At 44.5% G+C, this 15,038-nt stretch overlaps 1 protein-coding gene across 23 annotated transcripts in view, besides 2 other annotated features; it reads right to left on the reverse strand.

Moving 5' to 3' along the window:
• The window catches only part of EVI5 (ecotropic viral integration site 5), a 283,715-nt gene extending 269,079 nt beyond the window's left edge, over positions 1 to 14,636 (reverse strand). For 12 of the 23 annotated variants that reach the window (XR_001737401.2, NM_005665.6, NM_001308248.2 and 9 more), the window contains exon 1: positions 14,570 to 14,636. Coding sequence is in view for 15 of the 23 variants with exons in the window: in NM_005665.6 (NP_005656.4) it covers positions 14,570 to 14,620 (51 nt within the window). In the remaining 8 variants the exon portion in view is untranslated. Of the gene's footprint in view, positions 1 to 6,479; positions 7,335 to 14,569 lie in introns of those variants that run through there. The other 11 variants (NM_001377212.1, NM_001377211.1, NM_001350197.2 and 8 more) reach the window with 2 other exon arrangements.
• Positions 6,915 to 7,184: a silencer, noted in NCBI's record as "silent region_1077". NCBI's record gives its function as "represses an Ori minimal core promoter by ATAC-STARR-seq in GM12878 lymphoblastoid cells {active_cell/tissue: GM12878}" and the evidence as "EXISTENCE:reporter gene assay evidence [ECO:0000049][PMID:35858748]".
• Positions 7,455 to 7,734: an enhancer, noted in NCBI's record as "active region_1318". NCBI's record gives its function as "activates an Ori minimal core promoter by ATAC-STARR-seq in GM12878 lymphoblastoid cells {active_cell/tissue: GM12878}" and the evidence as "EXISTENCE:reporter gene assay evidence [ECO:0000049][PMID:35858748]".
• Positions 14,637 to 15,038: the final 402 nt, after the last annotated feature.

The following is a 15,038-nucleotide window of genomic DNA, read 5'->3' on the forward strand; positions in this document are numbered from 1 at the left end:
AGAAAGTTGTGTTATTGTTGTTTGTTCTGTTTTTAGGACACAAGCCATTATGACAGGGAGAATGAGACAATAGCAACAAAATTTTGGAAGCTGGAAAGCAGCTGGATAACTGACCTAGTCAAAGATGCCAAAATCTTTTTTTTTTTTTTTTTGTGACGGAGTGTCACTCTGTCGCCAGGCTGGAGGTGCAGTGGCGCAATCTCAGCTCACTGCTACCTCCACCTCCTGGGTTCAAGCAATCCTCCTGCCTCAGCCTCCTGAGTAGCTGGGACTACAGGCGCACGCCACCACGCACAGCTAATTTTTGTATTTTTAGTAGAGACGGGGTTTCACCATGTTGGCCAGGATGGTCTCGATCTCTTGACCTCATGATCTGCCTGCCTCAGCCTCCCAAAGGGCTGGGATTACAGGGGTGAGCCACTGCACCCCGCCAAAGATGGCCAAATTCTAAGCCAGCAATGCTGACAACTAAGAACAAACCGGTTTATGCCATAGATTCCTCAAAAGGCTCAGGAACTGCCAGAACAAAGAGTGGAAGGGGGACTAAAAGAAAGGAGCAAGTGAATGCTGAACAGTTAGAATCCCAGATTTCTTCCAAGCTGCTGAGTGGCCCCACCCTCAATGTGGCAGGTGACAGATTTCTCTTCTCAAGAGGGTAAACCATACAAGGTGGAAGACATAGGCATCCTAACAGAGACAGATTGTGTGAGCCCAATATACTAAATGTTCTTTGGCTCCTTACCCAACCCTCTTTTCCTGAGTTCCCAGATACTGACAACCAGACCTCAACTCTCCAAGCAGAAAACTGGAAGATACTCTCTGGAAAATATGACTGGGACAAAAGGAAAGATAAATACAGTGGAGACAGCCTCAAACAATCCACCCAGATCAATTATTTCAATCTTGGCTACACACTGGAATTATCTTGGCAGCTTTAAAAAATACTGGTGCTAATCTTCGGAGATAGAAATCAGAATAGTGGTCACCTCTAGGCTGGGAGTGAGACAACAGAAGAAAGGGATATGAAGGAATTTTCTAGAATTTTTTGCCATGCTCTACATCTTATATCGGTTACATGGTAAAAATCAAACTATACACTTAAATTCTGTGCATTTTACTGTATGTAGCCACACCTAATTTTTTTAACTATCCCTACCTGGGACCTAGTCTCAGAGATTCTGACGTATTAGCAGCAGGGATTTTTTTTTTTAATTCTCCATGTGATTATAATGTGCAGCCGAAGCTGAGAATCACTGCTTTAGACTCTAGAATATAGGGTAAAACAACATGTCCTTAAGTCCTACTTACAAGTTCAGGACTTCCCATCAGCTTTCAGTAGCCCACTGTTAATCATGAACAGACAACCAAGGATTACCAGTCTTCCGAGGAGGGCCTCTACTAATAAGACTATACCAAATAGGAAAAAAAGTAACTTGGAAGAAACTATGCAAGGAAAAGAAGGTCTAGGCCAGGTGCAGTGCCTCACAGCTGTAGTCCTAGCACTTTGGGAGGCCAAGGTGGACGGATCACCTGAGGTAAGGAGTTCAAGACCAGCCTGGCCAACATGGTGAAAACCCGGCTCTACTAAAAATACAAAAATTAGCTGGGCATGATGGCAGATGCCTGTAATACCAGCTACTTGGAGGGCCGAGACGGGGAATCGCTTGTACCCGGAAGATGGTGGCTGCAGTGAGCCGAGATCACGCCACTGCACTCTAGCCTGGGTGGCTGAGACTCCGTCTCAAAAAAAAAAAAAGAAAGGCTTAAGAAAACGATTTTTAACATTCTCAGAGAGATAAGAACAGATATGGCACCCATGAAACAAGAAGAGATGGAGAAATAAGTGACTGAGTAGAGGAGGCTGAACCTACTGGCCTGCAAAAGGGAATACAATCAAGAAACAAGCTGAGGAGTCTCTCTGAGCCTATTCTGGCTCAGAAGAAGGCTGCCAGATAAAGTGATATAAAAATTTTTTTAATTTAAAAAATAAAAAGAAGCAAGCTGATTTGGCTAACTCACAGAATCACAGAAAGGCTCAGAATCTAGGAGCCTAGGAGTTCCCAGGTATAGGGTCAGTGGAGAGGCATGGGGCTAAAGAGAAAGTAAATGGTTTAAAGTTTATGTAAGGTACAGTTGGACTCTAGTCTAGGTTCCCTCCTCTGCCACCATTCCTATCTCATAAATTTATTTTCTAGAAACTCTGACCTGGTGATACGATTTGGCTCTGTGTCCCCACCCAAATCTCACCTTAAATTGTTAATAATCCCCACATGTCAAGGGCAGGACCAGGTGGAGATAAATGAATCAAAGGGGCAATTTCCCCCACCCTGTTATTGTGATAGTGAGTGAGTTCTCACGAGATCTGATGGTTTTACAGGGGGCTTCACCCTTTGCTGGGCATTCATTCGCTCTCCTGTTCCCCTGTGAAGAGGTGCTTTCCACCATGGTTGTAAGTTTCCTGATGCCTCCCCAGCCATATGGCACTGTAAGTCAATTACACCTCTTTTCTTTATAAATTACCCCGTCTTGGGTATTCTTCATAGCAGCATGAGAACAGACTAATACACCTGTGAGACTCCAGACTCAAGAAAAGTAAAGTAAGGCTCAAGGCTGAAAGCCAAGGGGTTAAACAGAAGTGTGTTTGATGAAAAGCAGCCCCTGCCCACAGCCCACTTTCTTTGCCCACCTCTCAAAGTTGGAGAGCTTATATTACCACATATCAAAGCTTATTATAAAGTTACATTAATACAGTGATATTAGTGCAAGGATGACAAATATACAAATAGAACAAAGTATCCAGAAACAGACCCACACTAATTTCATAAATTAGCTGACCATACTGTTATCTAATTTATGAAAAAAAGTGCCACACAGTGCAGATGGACAAGGATGGTATTTGCAATAAATGGTGCTGGATCAAACAGACGTCTATATAGAAAAAAGTGAATCTTGGCCCGGTGCAGTGGGTCATGCCTAAATCCCAGCACTTTGGGAGGTCAAAGCAGGTGGAGATCATGTTACTGCACTCCAGCCTGGGTGATACAGTGAGACCTTGTCTCAAAGAAAAAAAAAAGTAAATTTTTTTTTTTTTTTTTGAGACCGAGTCTCACTCTGTCGCCCAGGCTAGAGTGCAATGGCACAATCTCGGCTCACTGCAACCTCTGCCTCCTAGGTTCAAGCGATTCTCCTGCCTCAGCCTCCTGAGTAGCTGGGATTACAGGCACCCGCCACCACGCCCAGCTAATTTTTGTATTTTTAGTAGAGACAGGGTTTCGCCATGTTGGCTAGGCTGGTCTCAAACTCCTGACCTCATGATCCGCTCGCCTCGGCCTCCCAAAGTGCTGGGATTTCAGGCATGAGCCACCACGCCCGGCCTAAAAAGTGAATCTTGACCCCTGCGATTCATCAAGAATTTACTCTAAATTATATACCTTAAATGCAAAAAGTAGGGGATGGGTACAGTGGCTCACACCTGTAATCCCAGCACTTTGGGAAGCCGAAGAGGGCAGATTGCTTGAGCCCAAGAGTTTGAGACCAGCCTGGGTAATATGTTGAAACCCTGACTCTACAAAACATACAAAAATTAGCCAGGCATGGTGGCATATGCCTGTAGTCGTAGTCACAGCTACTCAGGAGGCTGAGGTGGGAGGAATGCTTGAGCACAGGAGGCGGAGGTTGCAGTGTTCTGAGACTGCACCACTGCACTTCAGACCCTGTCTGAAAAAAAAAAAAATTTTTTTTGCAAAAAGTAAAATAAAATTGCTATAAGACAACACAGAAAAATATGTTCATATTCTCAGGTTAGGCATTGATTTCTTAAATAGGACACAAAAAGCAGTAACCATAAAGGACAAGATTGATAAAGTATACTTCATTAAAATTAAGAATCTCAGGCTGGGTGCAGTGGTTCATGCCTGTAATCACAACACTTTGGGAGGCTGAGGCTGGTGTAGGTGTATGACTTGAGCCCAGGAGTTCGAGACCAGCCTATGCAACATGGCAAAACCCCATTTCCACTAAAGATACAAAAATTAGCTGGGCATGGTGGTGCTCATCTGTAGTTCCAGCTACTTGGGGGTTAAGGCAGGAGGAATACCTGAGTCTTGGGAGATCAAGATTGCAGTGAGCCGTGATCGTGCCACTGCACTCCAACCTGGGCAACAGAGTGAGATTCTGTCTCAAAAAAAAAAAAAAAAAAAAAAAAGGCCAGGCACGGTGGCTCACACCTGTAATCCCAGCACTTTAGGAGGCCGAGGTGGATGGATCATGAGGTCAAGAAATCAAGACCACCCTGGCCAACATGGTGAAGCCCTGTCTCTACTAAAAATACAAAAATTAGCCGGGCATGGTGGCACACACCTATAGTCCCAGCTACTCAGTAGGCTGAGGCAGGAGAATTGCTTGAACCCGGGAGGCGAGGGTGCAGTGAGCCGAGATCGCGCCACTGCACTCTAGCCTGGCAACAGAGTGAGACTCCATCTTACAAAACAAACAAACAAAAAACACACACACACACAAATTAAGAATCTCCAGGCATGAAAAAAAACACCATTAAAAGACTGAAAAGGCAAAATACAGACTGAAAAAAATAAAAATGCAATACATATATATCCTAGAAAGGACTCATATCCAGAATAAAGCATTATAAATGAGAGAAAAATAAGCATATCAACGAAAACTGGGCAAAAAGACTTAACAGGCACTTCACAAGAGGAAATATAAATGGTCAACAAAAGATACTCAACCTCAGTACCAGGAAAATGCAAAATGAAACCACACTGATATATTACTGTACCTCTACTAGACTAGCAAAAAAAATTTCAACTGACAAGCACCAGCAAGGATGTGGGGTAACCGGAACATTCCCTGCTAATTGGTAGAACCACTTTGGGAAAATGTTCAACAATTTCTAATACTAGAGTTTTATCACCCACGTACCTATAAAACCAACAATGCCACTCCTACGTACATACTCCAATCTAGTAATGTCCTATTTCTTGATCTTTGGTGGTTCACTTAGTAAAAATTCATTACCTGCGATGTTTTTTGTTTTTGTTTTTTTTGAAAGACGGTCTCACTCTGCCGCTCAGGCTGGAGTGCAGTGGCATGATCAAGGCTCACTGCAACTTCGACCTCCCCGGCTTTGGTGATCCTCCCACCTCAGCCTCCTGGGTAGCTCGGACTACCAGCGCACACAACCACACCCAGCTAATTTTTGTATTTTTAGTAGAAAATGGGGTTTTGCCACGTTGCCCTGGCTGGTCTCAAACTCCTGGGCTCAAGTGATCCACCTGCCTCTGCCTCCCAAAATGCTAGGATCACATGCGTGAGCCACCGCACCCAGACCACCTGCACATTTAGAATTGTGAACTTTTTCTCTATACTTCAATAACTTAGTTCTAAGATTTATTTGACACAAAGTTCTCGGAAATCGTAGTTATCATTTTAGAACAGAAAAAAGACCACCTGGGCCAGGTGCGCTGGCTCACGCCTGTAATCCCAGCACTTTCGAAGGCCGAGGCGGGCAGATCATTTGAGGTCAGGAGTTCGAGACCAGCCTGACCAACACGGTGAAACCCCGTTTCTACTAAAAATACAAAAAAAAAAAAATTAGCCGGGCGTGGTGATGTACGCCTGTAATCCCAGCTACTCGGGAGGCTGAGGCAGGAGAATATATCCAGCCTAGGCAACAGAGTGAGACTCAGCCTTAAAAAAAAAAAAAAAAAAAAAAAAGAAAAGAAAAGAAAAGAAAAAGAAGGCCGGGCACGGTGGCTCACGCCTGTAACCCCAACACTTTGGGAGGCTGAGGCGGGTGGAACACGAGGTCAAGAGATCAAGACCATCGTGGCCAACATGGTGAAACCTCATCTCTACTAAAAATACAAAAATTAGCTGGGAGTGGTGGCGCGCGCCTGTAGTCCCAGCTACTCGCGGGGCTGAGGCAGGAGAATTGCTTAAACGCAGGAGGTGGAGGTTGCAGTGAACCAACGTCGCCACTGCACTCCAGTCTGGCGACAGAGCGAGACTCCCTGTCAAAAAAAAAAAAAAAAAAGAAAAGAAAAGAAAAAGAAAAAGAGCTTCTGGTACACTGGTGAAATTCTACTAACAAAATTTTAAAACAAAAAAAGTTACTTACATCAGCTCAGAACAAAGATTAAAAACTACCAGCAGATCACTTTTCTTTAACTTCAGTAAGCACTGGAATTCATTCTTTCGGCAAAGAAAGGAGTTTATTATTCAACACTGTAACCCAAAGAAAAGATACCACTTCAAGAAAATACTTCTTTTCGAAAGCAGCTCTACCAGCAATAGATAGGAGGAAAGCGAGGAAACCATTCCAAAAGGCTTGGTTTAACTCTTGGGTGAAAGGATGCCAAATGAGATGATCTAAGAAGCCCCAAAGACAGACAGACAGACAGACACAGGGAAATCACAGCAACTCTTTTGAGTGGAAACACCAACACCACAATCCAACCTACCGGAAATCCTGAGGTTAATTTGAGGCTTGCCCCACTAGTCATAAGGTGATTCAGGAATGGCTACAAACTCTTCTCAAGTTCATTCTGGACCTGGCACATCTGTCTTGCCCATCAGCAGCCTGGAGACACGCCATGCGCAGAATCCCGGAGGCCAAGTAAAGACGCCAACTTTGCAAGTCAGGGGGGCGAGTGCTCTCGCCCCTCAGGTCCCCAAAGGGAACCGACTTCTGGCCTCGAGGGTGGGGTGCAGGGTCAGTGTCCTCCACGGGATTTACGAGGACGTGCCCCCGAAGCTGCTCCGTCCCTCCACCGCCCTGGGACGCCACAGTTAGACCCGCCGACGAGTTTCTTCCCCAGCGCCCACGAGAAGGAGGGCTGCGGGCGGCGGCGGCGGCGACAGGCGAGGAAGCGAGTGCAGGGAACTTAGGCCCTGGCGGGGCCAGGCGCGCCCGCCCCGCTCCCACAGCAAAACTTGCGGCGGCCCCCGCCCGCCGCGCCTCGGCCCAGCTGTGCGCCAGCGGAACACGGACTCACCGCCCGCCCGGCCTCCCGGCCCGCCCGGCCTGGCGCAGCGCCCCTCACCTTGGAAACGTTGAGTAGACTTCGCCGTAAACATTAACTTCCCATCCAGCCGGCAGCCGCGCCGCCGCGTCTCAGCGCCTCGGCCCCGCTCCTGGCTCCACGGGTCGCCCGTCCCGAGTTCCCAAAAGCACCACGCTCACTCAGAAGCTCAGGGCCGCCTCGCGACCCTCACCTACCCCTCCCGGCACCGCCGCTGTCGGAACTGCAGCCAGCCCCTTGCCAGCTGGCCAGCTGGTTCCTCCGGGGTCCGGCCCGGCCGCGTCAGGAGAGCCCAAGGCGCAGGCGCGGGAGGGCCTTAAAGAGACCCGGCAGCCTCTACCGCAGAATGGGTTGGAGCAGGTTAGGGGCCGGGCGGGCCGGCCGAGAAAAGGAGAAGGCGAAGGGATTGGACGGAGTGCAGAGGAGGCGGGGAAATCGCTCTCGCCCTCCGCCTCTCTTTCAAAGCACCAGCCTTCAGTCCTGCAAGTCGCCGACTTCCCCGGCCACTGGAACCGCCCCTTCCATGTTAAAACGGTAGAAGACACACCCCCTCGGGGGCCCGAAGCGACCCCGAGCTTAGGACTGCAGGCCTCGCGCTGCCGCACCGACGCGGAGCCTGACTTTCAGGGCCCTGGCACGCGGTGCTGACGCGCATGCTTCGGAAGGCAGCCCCGAGCTCCCCCAGAGGTGGCCTTAGGGCACTCGCAAAAACAATAATCAACGCGTAAATGACACTTGTAATTGTAATGTACTCTTACACGTGTCTTCGCATTGGGTTTATGCAGACTACTGCAGGGGGCAGAACATGGGCACGAATACGTAAGATTCAGCCGGGCAGCCCTCCAGCGTCAACGAAGACATTCTTAGAAGGAAAGTACTTTGTTTGGGACGGAAACAGCCTATTAATTTCTGGTCCAGGAAAAGCAGGCAAGAAAAAGTAAAAAGGCAATACAGATTACTTTCATTATATGTTTAGAAGTGACAGCCGGGCGCGGTGGCTCACACCTGTAATCCCAACACTTTGGGAGGCCGAGGCGGGCGGATTGCCTGAGGTCAGGAGTTGGAGACCAATCTGGCCAACATGGTGAAACCCCGTCTCTACTAAAAATACAAAAAAAAAAAATAGCCCGGCGTCGTGGCGTGCGCCTGTACTCCCAGCCAAGCTACTCTGGAGGCTGAGGCAGGGGAATTGCTTGAACCACGGAGGTGGAGGTTGCAGTGAGCCAAGATCGCGCCACTGCACTCCAGCCTGGGCGACAGAACGATACTCTGTCTCAAAAAAAAAAAGGGACAAAAATTATAATAATTAGCAGCACAAGAAACTCCGGAATTATTTGTCTAGAAATTAGTATCCCTATTTTTAAATTTAAATTTATAAGACAGAATTCGCAGATGGGTTTCCACTGAACTAAGCATTTCAGAAAAAAAAAAAAAAAAAAACCTTACTTTTTTTTCAACAAGATTAGGAAATACCAAGAAATAGGAAGTAAAGCCATGCCCTCCACCCAGCTAAAAACTTTGAAAACTTGAACTTTTATCTGAGGCATATGTTTGCATAACTTTAGGTTGTGCCATTATTTAAAGAAATTTCAATTAACAATTTTATTGCAACTCAATCCTTGTATAAGAAAACTAAGCTACATCCTTGATAATGTACCTCTCCCCTCTTATATTCCATCCGTCAGCAAATTCTATTGGTTTTTCCCTTACAAATGGTCCTTGAATCTGTCCTCTCCTATTTCCTCCATCACCACCCTAGTCTAGGCTACCTTCACCTGGGGAGTGGGGGTGGAGGGATTACTGACCTAGTCTTCTTGTGGTTTACCCATATTCCCTTTATCCCCTCTCTAATCTCAACACAACAGGCAGAGTGACTTTTTCAAAATAACAGTGTGACCCTGTCACTTCCCAGCCTAAACCACTTAAACACTTTCCCATTCTCTTAGAAAAAACCCTCCTAACTAACCAAGCCCTGAATGGCCAGGTGCCTTGCCCACCTCTCCACCTCTTCTCACTGCTCAGACCAATTCCACCCTGCTGTCTGTGCTCCAGCCACGCTAGCCTCTTTTATTCCCTATTTACCGGCTTCCTGGCCTCAACAGAGCTTTTACTCATGCTTTGCTCTGTGCCCAGAAAGTTCTCCCAGTCCTCATCCTTTGACAACGGCTCTAGTATCCACCTCTGAGAAGCATCTTCTGACCTCCCTATGGTGGTCTCTTACTCCTTTCACATCGCATGAAACTGTAATTGGGTAGTTATATTGGTGAATTTTTTACTATTAGCTCCTTAAGTCCAGGATTTGATTTTGTTTGTTTCATGGTTGTATTTTCATATTTGTTAAATATATATTTGTTCAGTAAATGAAAATTATAGATGCTAAAACTTAAACTAAATTTGGCATAAAGTCAGAGAAAGGTAAAATGTCACCATCTGACATTTGGAATCAGAATCTAAAAACTTCAGTTATGTTAAAACTGATTTTATATCATTTTAGCTGGGTTGTCACAAGATTCTTTGGGTAACCTTTAAAACAGTTCTCAAAGAGCCTTTTGTAAGCACCTGAATTAATAATGATAAGACATGGGATGGCCCACATAAAACTAATAACATTGATTGCTTCAAGAGAGGAAGACTGAGCCAAGCACGGTGGCTCACGCCTATAATCTAAACACTTTGGAAGGCTGAGGCCGGCGGATCATTTAAGATCAGGAGTTTAAGACTAGCCTGAGCAATATGGCAAAACCCTATCTTTACAAAAAAAAAATACAAAAAAAAATTTAGACAGGTGTGGTGGTAGGCACCTGTAGTCCTGCTACTTGGGAGCCTGAGGCAGGAGGATTGCTTGAGCCTGGAAGGGTGAGGCCGAAGTGAGCCATGATCGTGCCACTGCACTCCAGCCTGGGCGACAGAGAAAGATCTTGTCTCAAAAAAAAAAAAAAGAGAGAGAAAGAGAGAGGAAGACTGGGTGACTGGTGGGTACCAGTGGGAAGGAGATTTTTACTGCATGCCCAAAAGGTTTAAAATTGTACCTTTTTTATCTTAAAGTATGTGAATTATCTATGTGAAGATAAATGACACAAAGTATGTGAATTATCTATGTGAAGATAAATAAATGACACAAAAGAGTGTCATACTGTTCCATTTATTTGAAATTCTAGAAAAGAAAATTAATCTGTGGTGAAAAAAAATCATAACAGTGGTTCCCTGTGGCAGGGGATTGACTGGGATGGTACATGAGTGAAATTTCTGGGTGGTAAAAATGGTCTCTATCTTGATAGGGATGTGAGTTACATAGGTATATTCACTTATCAAAAAATATGCAGGTAACATTTCAGTGAATGTAAATTTTACCTTAAAAACTATAAAAAATAGTGGCCGGGCGTAGTGGCTCACACCTGTAATCCTAGCACTTTGGGAGGCCAAGGTGGGTGGATTGCCCGAGCGGAAGAGTTCAAGACCAGCCTGGACAACACAGTGAAACCCCATCTCTACTGAAATACAAAAAAAAAATTAGCCGGGCATGGTGGCGTGTGCCTGTAATCTCAGCTACTCGGGAGACTGAGACAGGAGAATCACTTGAACCCGGGGGGCGGAGGTTGCAGTGAGCCGAGATTGCACCATTGCACTCCAGCCTAGGTGACAGAGTGAGAGACTCCATCTCAAAAACAAAACAAAACAAAACAAAACAAAAAAAAAACTAGGCAGGACATGATGGCTCATGCCTGTAATCCCAGCACTTTGGGAGGCCGAGGTGGTGGATCACAAGGTCGGGAGTTCAAGACCAACCTGGCCAACATGGTGAAACCCCATCTCTACTAAAAATACAGAAATTAGCTGGGCGTGGTGGTGTGTGCCTGTAGTCCCAGCTGCTCGGGAGGCTGAGGCAGGAGAACTGCTTGAACCCAAGAGGTGGAGCTTGCAGTGAGCCGAGATCGCGCCACTGCTCTCCAGCCTGGGCAACAGAGCAAGACTCTGTCTCAACAGCAACAACAACAACAAAAAAAACCCCATAAAAATTAAATAAAATTTTAAAATCTAATAGCTAACACCTGGTTGAGCACTCAACATGTATGGGTATTGGCTAAGGCTGTATACATACACTATTTCGTTTAATCCTCATATTGTCCTCATGGGGTAGGTATTATTATCATAACCCCCTTGCATATGAAGAAGCTGAAATTTAATAAATACCAAATAACTTACCTCAATTTATACCCCTGGAAAGTGGTGGCAGAGTTTTTAACACAGTCAGTTGAATGCCAGAAGTGGTTAAACATTAGGCCCTGTAGCACTTCTCTGAAATTGTAATATTTTGGTTTATATACATTACTCATCTACTAGATCGAGAGCTTCACAATGATTGAAATCCTGTTTTGTCTTTTTGTTTGTTTGAGGTTTGTGGTTTCATTTTATTTTATTAATTTAAAAGACTGGGTCTCACTATGTTGCTCAGGCTGGACTTGGACTCCTGAATTCAAGCCATCCTCCTGCCTCAGCTTCTTCTTCTTTTTTTTTTCTCGCTCCGTCGCCCAGGCTGGAGTGCAGTGGCAAGATCTTGACTCACTGCAAGCTCTGCCTCCTGGGTTCACGCCATTCTCCTGCCTCAGCCTCCCGAGCAGCTGGGACTACAGGCGCCTGCCACCACACCTGGCTAATTTTTTGTATTTTTAGTAGAAACGGGGTTTCACCATGTTAGCCAGGACGGTCTCAATCTCCTGACCTTGTGATCCGCCCACCTCAGCCTCCCAAAGTGCTGAGATTACAGGCATGAACCACCGCGCCTGGCCTTCAGATAGTTTTATTTGCGGTAAATTCAGTGAGCAATTCAAAGTTTTCTATGTTCTGATACTGTACAGCCTTAGCATTGATTTGGGTCACTGTCTGGGAGGGGAACCCCTCTAAACTTGGCAAGGGTTAAACCCTGGAACACCGTGCTCTAAACTGCCAAAGGTGTTTAAGTCAGTCATGTTAGCTCCATTGTTCACAGAAAGGAAATGCAAGGGAGACAGTCCTCTGAAAGGCAAAAAACAACCCAAGGTACAAAGAAGGAACTCACCAGAGAAGTCAAACCCACTGTGAACAATATTCCTCCCTCACCCTGGGAGCTTTTTAGAGAACTAGACCATCTCAGTTACATTCTAGGTTTGCACTGTCCAATACAGCAACCACTAGAGATACTAGCAACATGTGACTATTTACATTTAAACTTAAATTAAGCCAGGCATGGTGGCTCATGCCTGTAATCCCAGCACTTTGGGAGGCCAAGACAGGAGGATCACTTGAGGCCAAGAGTTTGAGGCCAGCCTGAGCAACATAGTCAGACCCTATCTGTACAAAAATAAAAATAAAAAAATTAGCTAGGTATGTTGGCACAACTGTAGCTATTCTGGAGACTGAAGTGGGAGGGTCACTTGAGCCCAAGAGGTGGAGGTTGCAGTGAGTTAAGATCACACCCCTGCACTCCAGCCTGTGTGCCAGAGTGGGGCCCTGTCTCAAAAATAAATAAACTTAAAAGTTCAGTTTCATAGTCACACTCACATAGTTCAAGTGCTCAATAATAGCACATGTGGCTAGTGGCTACTGTCTGACAGCACAAATATAGAACATTTCCACTCATCAGAAAGTCCTATTGGTAGCACTATTAAAGAAAAAGGAGACATAACACTCCATTTCAACTCCTACTAATGTTCAAAACTGGTTTTTTTTTTTGGTTTTTTTTTTTAAATGAAGGCTCACAATGAAATAGTGACAGCTATTCATTACTAGGCTCATTACTTTCTACAATATGAATCTGAAAGGTACTCAAATAAAAAGCTATGGCCTCCATGCACTGGAGTTATAAGAATAGCTTTAACTTAGCAGGGCATGGTGGCGTGCACCTGTAGTCCCAGCAACTAGGGAGGCTAAGGTGGGAAGATCACTTGAGCCCAGGAGGTGGAGGTTGCAGTGAGCTGACATCACGCCAATGCACTGCACTGCACCCTGGGCAACAGAGCAAGATCCTGTCTCAAAAAAAAAAAAAAGGAAAGAATAGCTTTAACCTCACCACTTTACCACTTTACCTCCACCGTATGCATTCTTTAGAAGACTCTGACATCATCTTAGGAAAGAACATTATTAAGAGACACACAATTCTGTTTATCTCTTGATACTTGTGCACAGGTGGAGACTAGATCTGCCATGACTATGGGAAAGAACAAGCTCTCTGGATCTACAGCTCAGACATCATTTCTATATGTGATACTACACATTAACACTGTCAGCCCAAAAAACTTTCGAAATTGAGTCACCAGAATGGGACATCAATAGTGTGCCAGTTTCTAGCCTACCCACCAAAAGGAGAAATTCATTCATTTCTTGACTTTGCAAAATACTTGTTTTAAAGCAAGAGAAAATTTGGTGGAACTAGAGGTAGTAACTCCACTTAAACTATCCAATTATCTAGGAACTAGTAACTTCTACATTCATGCAAGTGACTAGACTGTGACCTAAAATTTCAAGTGTTCTTGCCAAAAACGTGATCAACCCCTTTGAGCTCTTCAAGCTCCAATCTTCTCATTCATAAACTGGAGATAATAATATCTACTTAAGCACTGAAGTGACAGTTAAGTGGAATAATATATGCCATGTGTATAACAAATATTCAAAAATAATAGCTATTGTAATTGCTATTTTCCAAAGCCACAAAACACCAATGTGCAAAAACAAAAAGACAAATAAAAAAGACTGAATTAGAAGAATCCTGATTTTGACACCTGCTAATAGTCTGGCTTTTAACCTCTGTAAGCTTCAGTCTCTTCATCAAGCAAATAAAAATAAGAGTCCCAATCATAGATGCGACGTGAGATGTGTTTTGATTTCGTGTGAAATTGTCTAATTAAAGCCAGGTACAAACATTAGCTAATGTTAATTAGCAGTTTCTCCCACCTCCACCAAAAAAAAAAAAAGGATGAGGTGAGGAAACTATTTTAGGAACATGATACTTTACAGAAAAATTTATGTAGCTTTTATTATGAACTGTGTTCCCAAACACGACGGGAGGCAACACTTCTGAAATCATTGAGAGGCCATGCAACCATCAACACTGTCACCAAATAGAGTTTGTGAACAAATGCTATGGTAACCAGTCATTTTCTTCTTCTCCATATGAGAAATGTGAAGCCCATACAGACATGCTAGGTCTCCTCTGTGAATGTGTATATTCAAAGAAACGTAAACAGCAGCCAATTACAGCTAGGAGAGAATTGCGGCAAGTGTTGAATTACAAAAAGCCAATTACTAAAATACCTTTCTTGCAGGTATGGAATTAAACCTAACACTTCATAAATTTTGTTCATCACTCGAATGGCTGCAGTACAATGAGATAACAGTCTTAAAATAAAACTGAAGAAATGTTAACAAGCTGTTCCTGTGTTTTGAAGATTAAGCGAAATATACAAATCCTAACTCAATAACAAATTACTTTCTGTTACAGCAATTACATTTTTATAAGTTTTAATATAAAATCAAACATCGTTTTACACATTTACCTGTTTCCCACTAGGGTTTCTAAAGGCAGCAGTCATTTTGTTGGTAACCATGATAAGCAGAGAAGACAGAGAGACTGGGGATTTGAATTGAATTTATAGCTGACTCATAGGCAGTGTTAACAAAGACATTGCCACTGGGATCCACCCATTTAACACCCTTTCAGTTCCACCTTATACACTTGTTAGGTAGTAGGGAGCTGGGAATGTGGAGGATTAGGAATGCTGAAACCAAAGCCTTTTTGTCTTAGGTATGCTAATTGATTTTGGTTTTTCATTCCTTCTTTCCTTCTTTTCTCCCCTTCCTCCCTCCCTTCCTTCCTTCCTTCCCTCTTCCATCTTCCTTCTTCTGTCCCTCCTTCCTTCCTTCTATGACTTATCTCAGAATGACGTTACAATTGTTATTGTGTTTGAGTGCCGACGCTGAGGCATTGGCTAGAAACTTCTATAATTAGGTGTTTTCTGACACTAG

Source organism: Homo sapiens, chromosome 1, assembly GCF_000001405.40.
Source record: "Homo sapiens chromosome 1, GRCh38.p14 Primary Assembly".
NCBI lineage: Eukaryota > Metazoa > Chordata > Mammalia > Primates > Hominidae > Homo > Homo sapiens.